At 42.4% G+C, this 16,975-nt stretch overlaps 1 protein-coding gene across 13 annotated transcripts in view, besides 5 other annotated features; it reads right to left on the bottom strand.

Annotated features, from left to right (window-relative positions):
* CNIH3 (cornichon family AMPA receptor auxiliary protein 3) overlaps positions 1–16,975 on the bottom strand; it is a 305,915-nt gene that overhangs the window by 237,711 nt on the left and 51,229 nt on the right. The gene's annotated exons all lie outside the window — the stretch shown is intronic.
* Positions 1,601–2,101: an enhancer, noted in NCBI's record as "H3K4me1 hESC enhancer chr1:224688445-224688945 (GRCh37/hg19 assembly coordinates)". NCBI's record gives its function as "activates a minimal SCP1, AML or CMV promoter by ChIP-STARR-seq in primed H9 embryonic stem cells {active_cell/tissue: H9 hESC(primed)}" and the evidence as "EXISTENCE:reporter gene assay evidence [ECO:0000049][PMID:30033119]".
* Positions 2,102–2,602: an enhancer, noted in NCBI's record as "H3K4me1 hESC enhancer chr1:224687944-224688444 (GRCh37/hg19 assembly coordinates)". NCBI's record gives its function as "activates a minimal SCP1, AML or CMV promoter by ChIP-STARR-seq in naive H9 embryonic stem cells {active_cell/tissue: H9 hESC(naive)}" and the evidence as "EXISTENCE:reporter gene assay evidence [ECO:0000049][PMID:30033119]".
* Positions 3,978–4,509: an enhancer, noted in NCBI's record as "OCT4-NANOG-H3K27ac-H3K4me1 hESC enhancer chr1:224686037-224686568 (GRCh37/hg19 assembly coordinates)". NCBI's record gives its function as "activates a minimal SCP1, AML or CMV promoter by ChIP-STARR-seq in primed H9 embryonic stem cells {active_cell/tissue: H9 hESC(primed)}" and the evidence as "EXISTENCE:reporter gene assay evidence [ECO:0000049][PMID:30033119]".
* Positions 4,510–5,039: an enhancer, noted in NCBI's record as "NANOG-H3K27ac hESC enhancer chr1:224685507-224686036 (GRCh37/hg19 assembly coordinates)". NCBI's record gives its function as "activates a minimal SCP1, AML or CMV promoter by ChIP-STARR-seq in naive and primed H9 embryonic stem cells {active_cell/tissue: H9 hESC(naive and primed)}" and the evidence as "EXISTENCE:reporter gene assay evidence [ECO:0000049][PMID:30033119]".
* Positions 4,585–4,784: an enhancer, noted in NCBI's record as "active region_2613". NCBI's record gives its function as "activates an Ori minimal core promoter by ATAC-STARR-seq in GM12878 lymphoblastoid cells {active_cell/tissue: GM12878}" and the evidence as "EXISTENCE:reporter gene assay evidence [ECO:0000049][PMID:35858748]".

The following is a 16,975-nucleotide window of genomic DNA, read 5'->3' as shown; positions in this document are numbered from 1 at the left end:
TTCATATGGTGTTTAAATCCACGGCTTCCTTTCAGTGGTTAGAGAAGGGATAAAAGCTTCCCTTTATGTTTGCCAGTGTTTAAATTGCTTCTGAAAACACCCAGCGGTGAAAACTATGAAAAGGGGACAGTCTTTTCAGCTGATTGTTTATGTAGAACTCGGCAGGGAATGTAAGCAGGGGGGTTGCTCAGTAATTACTGGACTCCATTCCCCTGGCACGGGCCCCGCCCTCCCTAACTCTAGAGGTGGAATGGCAATCCACCTCCCCACGCTGCAGGTTACACTGGTGCAAGAGTGCCTAGACCAGGAGGAAGGCTGTTCGTTCTGCTCATGCAAGCCAGGAGGCTCTGGAAACAGGCAAAGTGGGTTTAGCGATAAAGAAATAGGCCAGCCTCCAAATAAAAGGCTTTCGGCTCTTGCTCCATGGCTGTGCCTTTCAGGAGAGCTGGGCTTTCGGCTCCAAAGGCTGCCCTTCTCCTCTTTCCTCCATGCTGTCCACATGGAGTCTCTATCACGAGATACTTCTGCTGACCAGCTACGTTCACAGAGATCATTTCTGGCTGCAATCTCACTCACACCACTTATTTTATCCCAGTAGATGTTTGTTTCGGCCCCTAATTTCCATTCCCTTGGGCCAGTAAAGTGACTTGATTCCCTCTGTTTCTGAGGACCCCAAGAAAACCAGGGCTTCACTCTCCGGGAGCCGTATCTGCAGCACTCCTGGGTTCTGCCCACAAGTGGTATCCTCAGGGAAGACCCCTCTGGGCAAACCATTCTGAACAAGGCCCAGAGGATCCTCTGCTCACCTGCCCTCCCCACATTCTTCAGCACCTCCCTCCAGTTGCTCATGAAGCCTCCAGGTCCTCTGCCCCTCCACCCTACCTTCCTCCAGCCTCCTCACCACAGAATCATCTCCAACAGGGACCCCTCTTCCAGGAAAGTAGCTGGTCACAAACAAATTTCTGTATAAAGCAGTGGCTCACGCCTGTAATCCTAGCACTTTGGGAGGCCGAGGCAGGTGGATTGCCTGAGCTCAGGAGTTTGAGACCAGCCTGGGCAACACAGTAAAACCCCGTCTCTACTAAAATACAAAAAATTAGCTGGGCGTGGTGGCACGCACCTGTAATCCCAGCTACTCCAGAGGCTGAGACAGGAAAATCGCTTGAACCTGGGAGACGGAGGTTGTAGTGAGCCGAGATCGCGCCACTGCACTCCAGCCTGGGCGACAGAGCGAGATTCCATCTCCAAAAAAAAAAAAAATTCTGTATAAAACATTATCATGATTAAGAACATGAACTCTGGGGTTAAAAAAAAAAAATATATATATATATATATATAGGTTCAAGCCTATGCTGCTGTCTGCTGAGCATGTGACCTTGGGCAATTCGCTTATATCACTCTAAGCTCCAGGACCCTCATCTGTAAACTGGATACAATAATAATAGTATCTGCCTCATGGTGCTGTTGTCAAGATTAAATGAGATTAAATAAAATTATGAGAAGAATTCTTTACAAAGTGCCTTTCACCCAGTAAGCTCTCAATAATGATAGTATTATTGCCCATGACCATTTATTCAACACTCTTAAACCCCTACAATGAACAAAGTATGACTCCGCCTACCTCAAGTGTCTTTCTGTTCAATATAGGAGTCAAATATACAAACAAGTGGACATAAAACAAAGCAGAATTAGTAAATGCACATGAGATAGAAACATGATATGCTTTAGAGAGTAGAGAGATGAAAAAAAAGATTACTGTTTCCAGAACAGAAGAGGCACAGCAGCAGAGGTGGCCCACGAGCAAGGCTTTGAAGCATAAGCAGGGCTCTGATCAGTGGAAGCAGATGGTAGGTTCCAGGAAGTGGCAGAAGGGGAGGCATGGAGATGTGATGGTGCAGGGTGTGTGGAATGCACAGATGCCGGCTGCTTCCTCGGGTTCCAGCCCCCCTTCTTCCATCCTAGCAGCCTCATTGTCCACTTAGGCATCCACTGCATTGTGGGGAGTCTTGAGGTCAAGGGAAATCGTGCAGCAGGTAGCCACTCAGCACATCCCAGCCCACTGGCGACTGGGGTTGGTGCAGGGGCAGATGTACGTCAGAAACAAGTCTACTCAGATTAAAGATCAGTCATGAATGCTGGGGAAAAGTCATTCTTTTTTTTTTTTCTTTGCTTTTTTGTCTCACTCTGTCGCCCAGCAGGTTGGAGTGCAGTGGCACAATCTCGCCTCACTGCAACCTCCGCCCCCTGAGTTCAAGCCATCCTCCCTCCTCAGCCTCCCAAGCAGCTGGGACCACAGATGCATGCCACCAAGCCTGACTAAGTTTTTGTATTTTTGGTAGAGATAGAGTTTCGTCATGTTGGCCAGGCTGGTTTCCAACTCCTGAGTTCAAGCTATCTGCCTGCCTCGGCCTCCCAAAGTGCTGGGATTACAGGCATGAACTGTTGCACCAGCCAAGTCATTCTTTCTTTAGAGACATGAGATGAAGGCTGCTGGCAACCATTTTGGGACCATGAGAATTAGGAAGAAATTGTGGCCAGGCACAGTGGCTCAGTTTGTAATCACAGCACTTTGGGAGGCTGAGGTGGGAGGATGACTTGAGACCAGGAGTTCAAGAGACCAGTCTGAGCAACATAAGGAGACACTATCTCTATAAAAAAAAAAAATTGTTTTAATTAGTCAGGCTTGATGGTGCAGGCCTGTAGTCCCAGCTACTAAGGAGGCTGAGGTGGGAGGATCACTTGAGCCCAGGAGGTCAAGGCTACAGTGAGCCATGATTGTGCCACTACACTTCAGCCTAGGAGACACAGTAAGATCCTGTCTCAAAAAGAAAAAAGAAAAAAGAAAGAAAGGAATTAGATCCTTGGGGAATTGTTGAGCCTTACCCAAAGCCCCACTCTGACACTAGATTTCTTTTTCTTTTCTTTTTTCTTTTTTTTTTTTTGGTAGAGATAGGATGTCGCTATGTTGCCCAGGCTGGTCTTGAACTCCTGGCCTCAAGCGATCCTCCTGCCTCAGCCTCCCAAAGTGCTGGGATTACAGGTGTGAGCCACAGTGCCCAGTCAGCTGACTCTAGACTTCTTTTGTCCCAGAAGCAAATAACGGCGTGTATTGTATAAGGCAGTTGAGCTATGCTTTTCAGTTTCTTGATGTTCAAAAAATGACCCGAAATAGAGAGTTATAAAAAATTGAAACTAGAAAGGTATTAGAGGGTTAAATCATGAAAGGCTTTCCTTGCCCCATTCTAAGGCATTAGACTTTATGCAGGCAGTAGGAAATCCCATTGAAAACTGTTGAGGAGGGAGGTGGCACATCAAATCTGTTTTAGGAAATTGATGGCAGGATGAAAGATAGACTGGAAGGGAGAGGGATTAGAAGCAAACCAACAAAAACAACGATTGATTAGTCATGAGTCTCGGCTGGTAAAGGACATTTTATCAAATATCTCCAGATGTCCACATGGCCTGGAGTGGGGAAGAGTAAGAAAGCAGAGATACCTATGGCAACCTCTCTTCTTATCAGAACCAATGGCCTGCCCTTCACCCTTAAGAGCTTAGTGTATACAGCAGAGAGTCCAAATCCTAATACTGTATTACAATACCTCAGAAGGCTACCCAGTTGTCATAGAAGCTTCAAACAACAGGAAATTTTTAATTTTAAAACAAAGTCCATTTTAATTTAAATTTTTAACTAACATTTTTAAAAGGCGGGGAGTAGGATACAACCCCAAAACAATAAGCTTTAACGGAGTGTCTTCACTACCAAAAGTTTGTGAATCACTGATCTAAATCATGGCACTCCCAGCACCCCTTCCCGGAGCGGGTGCCAGTCCTGGCATGGGTTCCCAGCCCTCTGGGGAGCTACTGGTGTGCTAAAGCTTTGCAGTGCCTGCGGACAGGAAGAGGCTCCAGAGCTCCCAGAGCTCCCATCCTCAGATCCACAAAAAAATGCGAATCTCTCCTAGAGCAATGTAAGTGTCTTGATTCCTCTTCCTGTCGCCTTTCCCCGCTGCCCTTTCTGCTGCACTGTTGCAGCACTGGGCTGATGACGCCAGGGCAGTGAAGGTTCCTTGCCCCCCGCATCTTCCCCTGTGCTGAAGCAGCGCATGGTAACCTGGCTGCCCGTGTTCTGATGCATTCTCCATTCTTTCCCACAGGCACACTCCCACCTGCATTCCAAACTGACTGTTTCATTTACATAATTCCAATAGCTTTCACTGCCAGCTTCCTGTTTTTGTAAACTCATGTAGAATTTTTTAGTTTCATAAGAAACAAGGGCCCCAGCTCACAATCACCCTCTACCAACATAGTTTATCTGCATCAAAGAAGACAGGGAAGCTTCTGTCCATTGGTTTCCCTTCTTATTTTAGAAATAGAAGCTTAAAAAACACCCCAGTGGTTTCCAATCCAGAGAGTTGCATATAAGCTTTTGACTTTACTGGTTACTGGCTTCCTGTTAACTGAAAGAAGTTTCAAGCTGAGTCAGAGAAGAGAACCGGGCCCAGCAGTGATTCATTAGTGTTGCTAATGACACCCCTACCGCCACCACCATCACTGCTGCTTTTGCTGGGGCTGCTGGGGCCTCCATGTTAGCCTAATCCTAAGAGAGCAAGAAACTGAAGCCATTGTCCTGATTTTCTCTTCCAGATGGCATTGCAGTGGCAGCAGTGAGCACAGGCCAAGCAAGACTGGCCTTGAGATGAGGAGGCCAGATGGGCCCTGAATCAGGGTGGTTTCAGGATGCCCAGGAAGGCACTGCTGCTGCAGAATAACTTCCCCCTCTCCCTGCCCTCCCTTTGCACAGTGCCTGAAGATTCTTCCTCCTTCTGAGCTTTTCTGGTCTTCCTGTAAGATACAAATACAGCTTAAAAGGGCTGCTCATACCCTAATATGATTAATGTGATGAGCTCACTTTGGAAAATACTAATCACTTGAGACATGCAGATGGAAGAGATGCTGAATTATAACCCAAAAGACTACCAGGCCAGAAAAGACAGTCAGGAAAGAGATGCAAGTGTCAACTACTTCTCAGTTTTGCCCAGATCCGGGCTTCACTGCAGGGTCATAGTCAGGAGCATCTGACCACCATACAGCCAGCAGTGCAGGAAGTGTTCAGCACTCTTCAGCCATGACTCTAGTTTAGGGATTTCTCTCAGTGCCAAGATCCTCCTGGAGGGCTCCAACAAACAGCAACACATAAAAAAAGTTGCTTTAGAAATGCATCTATAACAACAAAGGGTTCCCAACCCATATTCTTGCAGCTAAGTCTGTCATATGCATTATCTTATCTAATCTTCACAGCAACCTAGGAAACATCACTTCTCCTGATTCTACAGATGAACAGTGAAGATGATGCCACAAGTAAATTTCTGACTTAAAATATCATATTCCATCACAGTATAATTGATTAATTCCTAGACTTTAAAAATCAACATATCATTCACATAACATAAAATCTATCATTTTTTAAAGTAAACATAAAATCTATCATTTGTTAAAGTATACAGTTCAGTGGTTTTTAGTATATTCACTATGTTGTGCAAACATCACCACTAGCTAATTCTAGAACATTTTCATCACCCCAGGAAGAAATCTTGTACCTATTAGCAGTCACTCCCAATTCCTCCCTATGCCTCTCTCCCTGACAACCACTCCTCTACTTTCTGTCTCTATAGATTTGCCTATTTGAACATTTCATATTAATGGAATCATAAAATGTAGTTTTTTTGTGACTGGCTTCTTTCACTGCATGTTTTCAAGAGTCATCCATGTTGTAGCATATAATAGTACTTCATTCCTTTTTATGGCTGCATAATATTCCATTGTATGGATATACCACATTTTGTTTATCCATTCATCCATCAAAGAACACTTGAGTTGCTTCCCCCTTTCAGCTATTGTGAATAACGCTGCTATGAACATTATTGTACAAGTTTTTGTGTGGACATATGTTTTCAATTACCTTGGGAATTCCTAGAGTTTTTATATATCTGAAAACATAGGTAAGTCTAAAAGAAATGAGTATCAGCTATGGTATTGCATTCATTACAAGGTATTTATAATATGCCTGTTTTCAATAAGGATTTGCAGTATTCCCACCATGATATCCTATGCCACCTGTAGTATTGTACCCGTCACACTGAGTCTGTTTCCACAACTGCATGGAGTGCTCTTTGAGGGAAGGGACCCATCCTGTTCACTGTAAACAATTTCTTAAGTATAAGTCGCTACCTGTCTGTGAAGCAGCAGCACCTTCCTGGGCATGCTGAAACCACCCTGATTCAGGGACCATCTGGCCTCCTCATCTCAAGGCCAGCCTTGCTTGGCCTGTGCTCATACTGCTATACCACCTGGAAGAGAAAATCAGGAGGCTTCAGTTTCTTGCTCTCCTAGTATCAGGCTAACATGGAGGCCCCAGCAGCAGCAGGAGCGATGGTGGTAGCAGAAGGGGTGTCATCAGCAACACTAGTTAGGTGGGCCAGAGCTGAATGGACTGGAGTTGACATCTGCCCACGGGACAGCCAGCAGCACAGAAAGTGCTCAGACATGGAAGTTCTCCCCACAGTCTCCTCAGGCAGGAATGGATCAATTAGACCCTCCTCGAGTGGATGGTGGTTGGTATAAGCCAAGAGACACAAGAGAGGAGGCAGCAAGCAGCAGCCCTGAGGAAGCAGAAGTTCTAGGGTATTGAGAACGACATGTAGTTGTTCAGTAACTGCTGGGCTGGCAGAGAGGCTGAGACAACAGACTCGTGCAGCTGGGAGGACAAGGGGCTGAGTCTCTGCCACTACATGAGATCTTGAATAATTTTTCACTTCCCAGATTATGTTTCACTCCACATGAAAAGAGCATATCTTACTGCTTAGTTGCGCTCTCTCTGCCCACGGATAGCTCACAGATGCCTTTTTCATTGTTGTGTTTTGCAGAGATGGGGTCTCACTGTGTTCACAGGCTGATCTCAAACTCTTGGCCTCAAGGGTTCCTCTTGCCTCAGTCTCCCAAAGTGATGGGATTATAGGAGTGAGCCATGATGCCCACACTCAGCCCGCTCCTCTTGCCCAGAGAGTTTGCACATGGACTGCTGCTCCCCGACCCCCTCCTCCAGCCACTTCTCTCCAATAGCAAATGCCCTTCCCCTGGTGAATGCCCATTCCTCCTGGGATCTCAGCTCAGCATCACTTCCTCCAGGAGGACCCCTTGGAGCAGTAAAATCCTCTCCTCTAAGCCCTCACAGCTGCATCAGCGTCTTTGTGACACCACTGCTGTAAGACTGCATCTATGGAGTGATTCATTCATATTGATGCCCAGCTACACAAACACTCCATTAAAGTAGAGACTATTTTGGCTCAGCTTTGTATCCCCAGCACCTAGCCTGACACCTAGCAGGGCAATAAATATTTGATGAACGAATGAATTCATCGTTTTTTTCCAGGAAGGAAACAAGTCCAATTTTTAAGTAGTTAAGGATACAAGACCTTCCCATTGATCTTGTAGTAAAAAATCATATTGGATTGACAAAACTCAAGGTATATACAAGGCATGTCCTGGGACCCTCTCCTTCTGCCATAGGAAGGACAATACCTTGGCATGGGAGAGAAGGGGGCTGGGATCAGGACTGGGCTCATTGTGTGAGGTAGTCTCAAGTCCTTACATGAGGAGGCTCATTGAACAGCCAAAAAATTGATGAGTCTCAGGTAGGGGTCTCAGGAAGGTCTCCCCTGCCTACCACGGGAACTACTCTCACTATGGGGCAGTTCTGATAGGCCTCTAAGGCATGAACTGGTAGAGAGTGTGTGTGTGTGCATGTGTGCATGCGTGTATGAGTACATGTGTGTGTATTTGTCCTGTACTCCAGATTCAGGTAAGGAGCAGCTTGGGGGGCTCAGGCGCAGCCCCTGAATAGGGGAAAGTGGAGGTAGGCAGAGAGGGCAGAAGAAAGCAAGCCACTTTCAAAACAACCCTCCAAAAACATCTGAGAGACTTTAGTGTAATAATCTGATTTTGTGAGACAAAGATCCAGAGGGCGTTGGGCATGAGTCCAGTTCAGAATCAATCTGGTGGGCACCTCAGGGCTCAAAAATACTCTCTTTACCAGGCCCTGACCTGGGCCACCTGTTATTGGAGCTGTGGAAGTTGGAATTCAGTTTTGATTAGGGCAGAATCCCAAAGAGGTCTTTAAGATAAAGTGGCTGCAAAAGGAACCCCGAAAGAACCATAGAAGTTAAACTACAGAAACCAGTATTTAGTACCATCAAGCTGGTTATCACACGGCTTCAGCCACAAGCAAAGATTTGGCAGGAATGTGAACTCAAAAATCAGGACTGTCAGGCAGCAGGCTTGATAAATCAGTTACTTCTTCTGGTCTCCTCTATCATCCTCCCCTCCCTGCTTCCAAGATGTAGGCTGAGGGGGAACACAAGATGTAGCACTGGTTTCTGCCTGACATACATTCTCTGGGCCTACTGGTCTGAGAGCATTAGAAGGACACAGGGATAAATCAAGAGGACCCAGCATGCTGAGAAAGATGTGAGCAGAATTAGTTAATTCTACTCCCTTGGACTAGATAGCACGTTGAGAGGCTCTGTGATTTCTGAAATCCTGTATGAAAATTATACAAGATCTAATGTTTCAAGGTTCCTTTAGTCAATTTTATCAATAAGGGATGTGAAATACCAACACTGCTGATAAAATATTCAGAAATTATATTACCACAGCTTTTGACCTGACATCTGTGATAAGACATATTTAAAAATCGACCCTGGTGGCTTTTAAGGCTAAAAGACTGAAAGACATTATTACTGATTTTGCAGTTAATTTGAAGAACCACATCTGATCTTCCATTGTCCTTTCTCATCAGATCAATACCTTCAAGTGTATTGTCAGTTAAAATGCTGCAGTACTGCAGCAAATTTACATACCCGATTGGTTCTGTGGCAGTGATAAGCACAAAGTGGTGTTAATGACGGGACTCTGGGCTGTCCTTTGCAGACTGGAGAGGAAATTATTGAGTCTCCTCCAGGTGCGTGAGAGGAGAAAGGAATCGCACTCTCTCCCCTGCCATTCTTCTCACCTCCAACCTACACAAACAGCTTGATTCCTACCTTTGTTTCTCCCATGTGCTTTTGGGAGTACCACTGAATGAGAGTGACCTGAATTATCTACAAGATATGGTAAAAGCAAATCATCCCCAAATTCCAATACTTTTTACTGTAACTGAAACAAGTCACTTTGATAAACCTTGCAACTCATTGGGACGTCTCAACTTTGTGCTTTGTTCTGTACTGGAAACCACCTGCTCCCCTCTCTGCCACTCCCAGGTGTTTACTTTTCATAATTTTTGCTAACAGCAATCACACCCCTTCCTTGAGCCCTCGGGGTAGGTTGAAACTACATTTAAAGAAGCACACTAGGTCTCCCTACCCCACTCCCAAAACATCATAAACACACCTATTAACACACACACACAAACGTTCAGCGCCCCAGGTAGGTTTCCCTGACCTTTTGGTTTGCTAAAGACAACTTTAAAAGCCAAAAAATGACTTGCAAACTTCCTTTATGTTCTGCAAATTTAAAATTTCCGCATATATATTACACGAATCAGTCACCTACCCTACTTACCCACCATATCAAGTTTATATACAAAGACTAGCCAAATAACTTCCAACAAATGGATTTCTTTAAAAAACAAAAAATAAAAAGAAGGAAAATTTTGTTTCTAGGCTTAAAGTACCTTTGTCAACTGGTGACAAATAAAACAAGATTTCAAGGGATGATTAAAGACCCTGGGTCAATGCCCTCACTCTCCAGGGAAATCGTTGACTCAATCCTTATAAATGGATTCCATGGATCACTGTCCTCCATTCTGATATTGTTGGTGATTATAGTAAAATAGCCAAAGTCATTCAGTCTTACTATCAACAGATGGTGCCTGCTTTTCTCTCATACTTGCCTAAAAGCCTCTGTTACAAACTCAGAAATAAAATGGGAACTTTTTGAAGAAACGTCAAAAAAATATGCAATAAAAACTGTAACAGGTAGACTCGGAGCACAGGCTTTTGAGCAGGAGCTGATGTTATTACCACAGACACCTGTGACTCTATACTGGGGACTCAGGCCTTCCAGGATGTCTAGCACAGAAAGAGATGACTTCAAGAAAGCAGACTGTCTACCCCAAGATCAGCAAAATAAAATCTTCTTATTAAAATTCTTTGTATATATGTTAAACTAGAAAATTGAAAGGAAAAACTTCAAACAATAATGATTATGTAGAATATATTAATAGATTTTATCTATAAACTACCCAAAACCATGGCAACAATGGTTAAATATTATTCAAAGTGCTTTTATTCAGTTCCTTCACCTTTACGTCATGTAGGTTATTTACTTAGGCTCAATAAAAATCCATCCTCTTTCCTGTAAGATTAAACTGAATAAATCAAATTTGCAACAATAACCAAGACCCAAATCTCATTTAATTAGATATGACAAGCCACTTTTAAGGAACAAGAACTATGCTTTACAGGTTGGGGAGGAATGCCTACACACAGTAATGTGTCGGTAAGTGTTTAACAACCAGCTCTGCAAAGGAAAAAAACACACTGTGTTGTTGCATTTGCCAATTTCTGTGGCATAAATATTCCTGTCATGGCCAATGTTAACATGACATCACTGAATGTGGAGTTGAGAAGACATGAAATGGCACACCATTATAAAGTATTTCCACCATAAAGATGCAATATTCAAGTTGAATGATGAAGAATCATTAAATAAATAAATGCAATAGATGCAGAGAGGCCAGGCACAGCAGCTCATGCCCACAGTCCCAGCACTTTGAGAGGCCAAGATAAGAGGATCATTTGAGGCCAGGAGTTCAAGAACAGTCTCTGGGCAATATAGCAAGATCTTGTCTCTACAAAAATAAAAATAAAGTAAATAAATGGGCCAGGTGCAGTGGCTCATGCCTATAATCCCAGTACTCTGGGAGGCCGAGGTGGGAGAGTCACTTGAGGTCAGGAGTTCGAGACCAGTCTGGGCAACATGGTGAAACCCCATCTCTACTAAAAAATACAAAAATTAGCCAGGCATGATGGTTGGCACCTGTAGTTCCCTGCTACTTGGGAGGCTGAGGCAGGAGAATTGCTTGAACCCGGGAGGCAGAGGTTGCAGTGAGCTGAGATTGTGCCACTGCACTCCAGCCTGGGTGACAGAGTGAGACTCTGTCTCAAAAAAAATAAATAAATAAAAAATAAAGTAAATAAATGAATTTATTTAATAGATGCAAATAAGCTTAAGAGCATAGATAAAAATAAACTGCCATACAATAATTAGTAAGAGATAAGTTTTGAGTATTTATTGCCATTGTTTTAAACATAATTTATTTAATTGTATATCATAAAGTTTAGTTTCTCATAATGGCCATGTTTAACAAGCAGCTTACAAAATTCCTACAAATTTAACAATCAGTTCTTGCAAGCCAGTATGAGCCGGTTCCAGCACACCATTCCCAGAAAACTGCCCTGGAACTTATTCTGTGGTTTATGGAATATCAGCTTTACAGATAGTAAAGAATTGCCTAGCAAGTTAGGAAAATGACTAATTTGGAGGGGTCTCAGACAAACGAAACCTCATAGAAGCAAACTGGATGGTTTTTGTTCCTCAGCTCAGTAAATACACTAATAAGGGCCTGTTAAAGCAAACTAAATATGGCCTGAGAAGGACTCCGTATTTCTATATTTGAGTACTTGTGGACAAACTGTAACCTTGTAATAGGCAGACAAGATTGAGAACCTAACTTAGGAGTATGCGCCTGTAACAATAGCTGAGTCTTGGCCAATCCCAGTGGCCATACTTCAACCACTCATAGACTGCTAAGTGTTTAAACTGTGTTCAAATAAGGCAAATGCCAACCCATAGCCAATCCAGCTGTTTCTGTACTTCACTGCCAATTTCTGTATGTCATTTCTCTTTTTTTTGTCTTAAATTTGTTCTGACCATGAGGCATCCCTGGAGTCTCTCTGAACCTGCTGTGATTCTGGGAGCTGCCCGATTCGCAAATCATTCATTGCTCAGTTAAACTCCTTTAAATTTAATTCCGCTGAAGTTTCTCTTTTAACAGGCCATAAAATAATGTGACACATAAAAGTACATTACAGATATGGAGGATTTACAAGTTAAGTCTCAAACCAGAAGGCTCTGGTTTTTGAAGTCTGTAACAAGGATGTATTGGTGTATTAACATCTCTTATACATGATGTAAATAAAACAAAATTTCAAATGAGTTATAGGGAATCAGAAAAATCTCAAAACAATTTAGGAGGTCAAATCTGCATGCGAGAAAAGAACTTGACCATAAAGAAAAACTGTGAAAACACGACTAAACTAATACCCTCCTGGGCCACATCCCATGGGGGAGCAGAGGGAGAAAACCACTTTGCACCCAGAGACAAAACAAAACACAAAAACCAGGATTACTCTCTATAATTCTAGTCCCCAAAATATGAAACCCTGAACCATTCCTGTAGTGACTCCCTAACAAAAACATCTCTATCCCTAACTTTTGCAATGCTAATGCCTGAAGATATGTCTCAACCTTTGTAAATATTAATATCACACAAGAAAAACACCGGTTTTCCACCATAAACAGTAAACTCAGTGATTTGGTAATTTTTTCCTTTAAATACTTGTTGCATTTTTTATTGGATGAGCCTGTCTTTCTAAAGCCTGGATTCCCTTGCAACACTCACTACAAATAAAGTTGCTTTCTCTTCTAAATGCTTTTGTCTGAGTCTTTGATAGTAACTTGCTTACTTGTCCCTATTTTTTTGGTCCTACATACCTATTGCTATGATCTGAATGTTTGTGTCCCACTGAAATACATATGTTGAAAACTTAATCCCTAGTGTGACGATTAGGCAATTAGGTCATGAGGGTGGGGTCCTCATCAATGGGATTAGTGCCAAGAACTGCCTTGCCCCCTTTCAACACGTGAGGACCCAGCAAGAAGACACCATCTACAAGAAATCAGGCTCTCACAAGACACCAAAGCTGCTGGCATATTGACTTTGGACTTCCCAGCCTCCAGCACCGAAAAATCAATGTTTGTTGTTTACAAGCTGCCCAGTCTATGGTGTTTTGTTACAGCAGCCCAAATGGACTAAGACACCTGCTCCCAGTCATGGCCATGTATTAATAGCTCCTATCAGACCAATGTTCTCACAGATAACAACAGTGAGCTCTGGACAGAAAATAAAAACATCTTTCTAAAGTCACAAAAGAGCAACCGAAAGTAGGTAGATGCTGGAGGGGAGTGGACATTTGAAAGAGGGGAAAAGCACTAAGGGAGCATCCCATTTTTACGGCTTTTATCCTGAGGGAAAGCCCCCAAATGGCACTATGCAGGGCAGCTAAAAGTCAGAAAAAAAAACCAAAGTCTTACTGGTGTGAACCAAAGGATGGGATGTGAGGGAAATATAGATGCTGGAAAGCAAAGTGGGGGAAATCCTGAAAGGGAGAGGGCCAGAAAGGGGGAGCCCCAAATTGTGTATATAAATTCTGACCAACTGTCCAGCTGATGCTGGAACCACATGTGTGTGAGTCAGACTTGAAGAATAAAAGACCTGAGCAGAAATGTGAGCTACCACTCACAGCAGGGAAGATAAAGTTTAGCATTTGAATTCAGCCAAGTTAACTGCCTACCATTAAAAAAAAGAAGAAAAATACTCTTCAGAGAAACATAGCAGAACTCAGAATCTCTGCAATGTATTGACAATGTTCAGGATACAGTTCAAAATTATTCAATATTCAAAGAAACAGGAAGACACTACTCATATCAAGAAAAAGAATAAAATCAATGAAGATCAACCCTGAAATGATTCATACATTGGAATTAGTAGACAGGGTTATATGAAACAATTATTACAACTAAGCTCAAGGACTTAAAGGAAAATGCGCTTGGGAAATACACTTGTTAATAAATGAAAAAATAGGAATTGTCAGCAGGTAAATAGAAACTCTAAAAAATAACTAAATAGAAATTATAGAACTGAAAAACACATCTAAAATTTAAAAATTACTAGATAGGGGCCAGGCATGATGGCTCATGCCTATAATCCAAGCATTTTGGAAAGACGGGGCAGGAGGATTGCTTGAAGCCAGGTGTTTGAGACTAGTCTGGGTGACATAGAGAAACCTAGTCTCTACAACAAATTTTGAAAAATTAGCCGGGCATGGTGGCACATGTCTGTAGTTCTTGCAGTCCTATTCAGGAGGCTGAGGCAGTAGCATTGCTTGAGCCCAGGAGCTCGAGGCTATAATGAGCTATGATTGTGCCACTGCACTCCAGCATGCATGACAAAGCAAGACTCTGTTCCCCCCCACCCCCCAAAAAAAAATTACTGAATGGGCTTAACAGCAGAATAAAGATATAGAAGAAAGCGTCAGTGAACTTGAAGATTGATTAACAGATAGATAAATTATCTAATTTAAAGATCAGAGCGAAAAAAGATGGGAAAAAAAATTGACAGAGCTTCAGGAACCTGTGGGCCCTTATCAAAAGATTTAACGTAAGTACAATTGGAGTACCAAAAGGAGTGAAATAGAATGGGGTAGCCAAAACACTCAAGGAAATAATAGCCAAACTCTTCTCAAAATTGCTATGGCCCCATTTAGAGTGCAAGCTTAATAAAAGCCAGGATTTTTGACTTATACCTCTTTAGTAGCTCGTATCATATCATACCTAACAAGGTTAGGTCACATACTAGATTCTCAACTAGTATCAACTTATATATTCAGCATCAAAAATAATTATTTACTGAGTGCCTGCTATGTGTAAAGCACCAGGAATGGTGTAGAGACACAAACATGCCCTGTGCTTAATGAAAGAATAGGGTTTTCAAAAAGATTAAGAGAAAGAAGATTTATTGTTTCTTTTTAAAGAAACAATAAAGAAGGAAAGGGTTTTTAAAGAAGGAAAGGGTTTCCAATGGCCTCTGTTTTTTACTCTTTCCTAGGTAATTCATCATGATTTGATCTAACTTGCTTATGGCGATCCCTGCTAAAAGGAGAATGTAACATTGTGATCCAGAGTGAGAAGGGATGTCATATCAGTAGGCCATAGTTACAGGTACATCCTTCCAGAACCGCTTCAAATAGCGCTTTTCTCACCTAACTGTTTAGAACAGAAAGGGAAGCTTCTTCTATACAATTTTCACTGTTTTTGCTTGAAGTTGCCTTTACCTTTTAGGCAGAACTTACATCCTTTAAATAGCTGCAGATGATAGCTGTAACTATGACATATTTTTATCAGTCAGTAAAATATGGAGGGAAACAGCTGAGAAAAACCATTTCTCCACTTTGGGGAGAAAATACAGAAGTGTGTATACCTCTCCAGAACCTAGAGGGTAAAAGATCAAAAGGAATATGTGTGTGTGAGAGAGAGAGGAACAGAAAGACAGAAGGAGGAAGGGCTCCTAACATTCCTTTCTCTGTGTGAATTCTTGAAGCACTTCTCTCCATCTGTTTACAAACTGTCCACTAATAGTCTACGATTCTGAGAACCAACCTGTCTACAAATAAACTCAGTAAAAATATCACAGCTGGTGTTTTGGTTGTACTGGTCTGATAGGCTCACCTCAAATATGATTGTAAATGTAAGGACATGGTTTCAGGCACAAAGCCTGAAACTATATGCCTGGAATCATAAATTTAGTAAATCCCCTTGAAATGAGCTGCTGAGAATGTCTTATTTCTGTTAGAAAATAGAATTCTCCCATAAAGATATAAGCAGAAATTAGATTTTGGTATGTTTACAGGAGACTCTGGGTCTAGGATGTGACATTTATGAGTTTGGTTATAGATCTGTCACTGGCTCTTTACGTGACTTTCGTCAGTGTTTTAGTCCATCCGGAGCCTGTTTAGTCAGCCGACCTGGGGATAATACTCTTTGCTATCCTTTTCACAGCAATGCTGCATCTGTCATAATCATAATAGATATCACTTATTGCGTTAGTACTGTGCATCAGGCACTGTGATAAGCACTCTACTTGCATTATTTCTAATCCAAACAATCATCTTGAAGGTAGTGTTATTCAATTTGCAGATGACAATACTGAATCTCATAGAGTTTTAGCAACCTTTAAAAAGCTGCACCAACTAGTGAGGTGTGATGCCAGGATTCTATCAGGTGCCTCTTACTACATGATGCTAGTTTGCTTTTATTCACTTGGCATAGTTGATATAGAAAGAGCATTCTAGGTATGTATACGTATATATTCATGTATATATAGGCATATAAGTGTATGTGTGTATACAGGAAAAAAACTTAGTGATTACATTCAAGGAATATAAACCTAGATGAAAGATGAAATATGGCCCAAATCATCTAGAGAGTATAAACAAAACACAGTGAAAGCTACAGGCTGCACTTAAGGACTATGCATAAAACACAAAGTGGCTCATGCCTGTAATCCCAGCACTTTGGGAGGCAGAGGCAGGAGGACTGCTTGAGCCCAGGAGTTTGAGAACAGCCTGGGTAACATGGCAAGGCCCTATCTCCACAAAAAAAAAACCCCACAAAAATTAGCTGGGCATGGTGGCATGCCCCTGTAGTCCCAGCTTCTGGGGAGGCTGAGGTGGGAGGATCGTTTGAGCAGAGGAGTTGGAGGCTGCAGTAAGCCGTGATCACACCATTGCATTTCAGCCTGAGCAACAGAGCCAGACCCTGTCTCAAAACACAAAAAATACAAAGTAAAAGAATATTTGAGATGCCTGTGGTAACCCCTGGAAATCACTGGAGACTGATAGTTTTCATATCGTATGCATCCTCACCTGGATAATAAACCACCTCAAAGGGAAAGCGTCCCTTCCATATGACTGACAAGATAAAAAAAGTTGTGCATTCCCTACTGCATGATTTCTAATGTAACTTGAAAACAAGTTCCCAGTGTTCCCAAATCAGAAGCATTAGAAAACTGAAGTTTTAC

Source organism: Homo sapiens, chromosome 1 (assembly GCF_000001405.40).
Source record: "Homo sapiens chromosome 1, GRCh38.p14 Primary Assembly".
Lineage (NCBI taxonomy): Eukaryota > Metazoa > Chordata > Mammalia > Primates > Hominidae > Homo > Homo sapiens.
The sequence above is the reverse complement of the archived record's forward strand: the minus strand, read 5'-3'. Positions and strand labels throughout refer to the sequence as shown.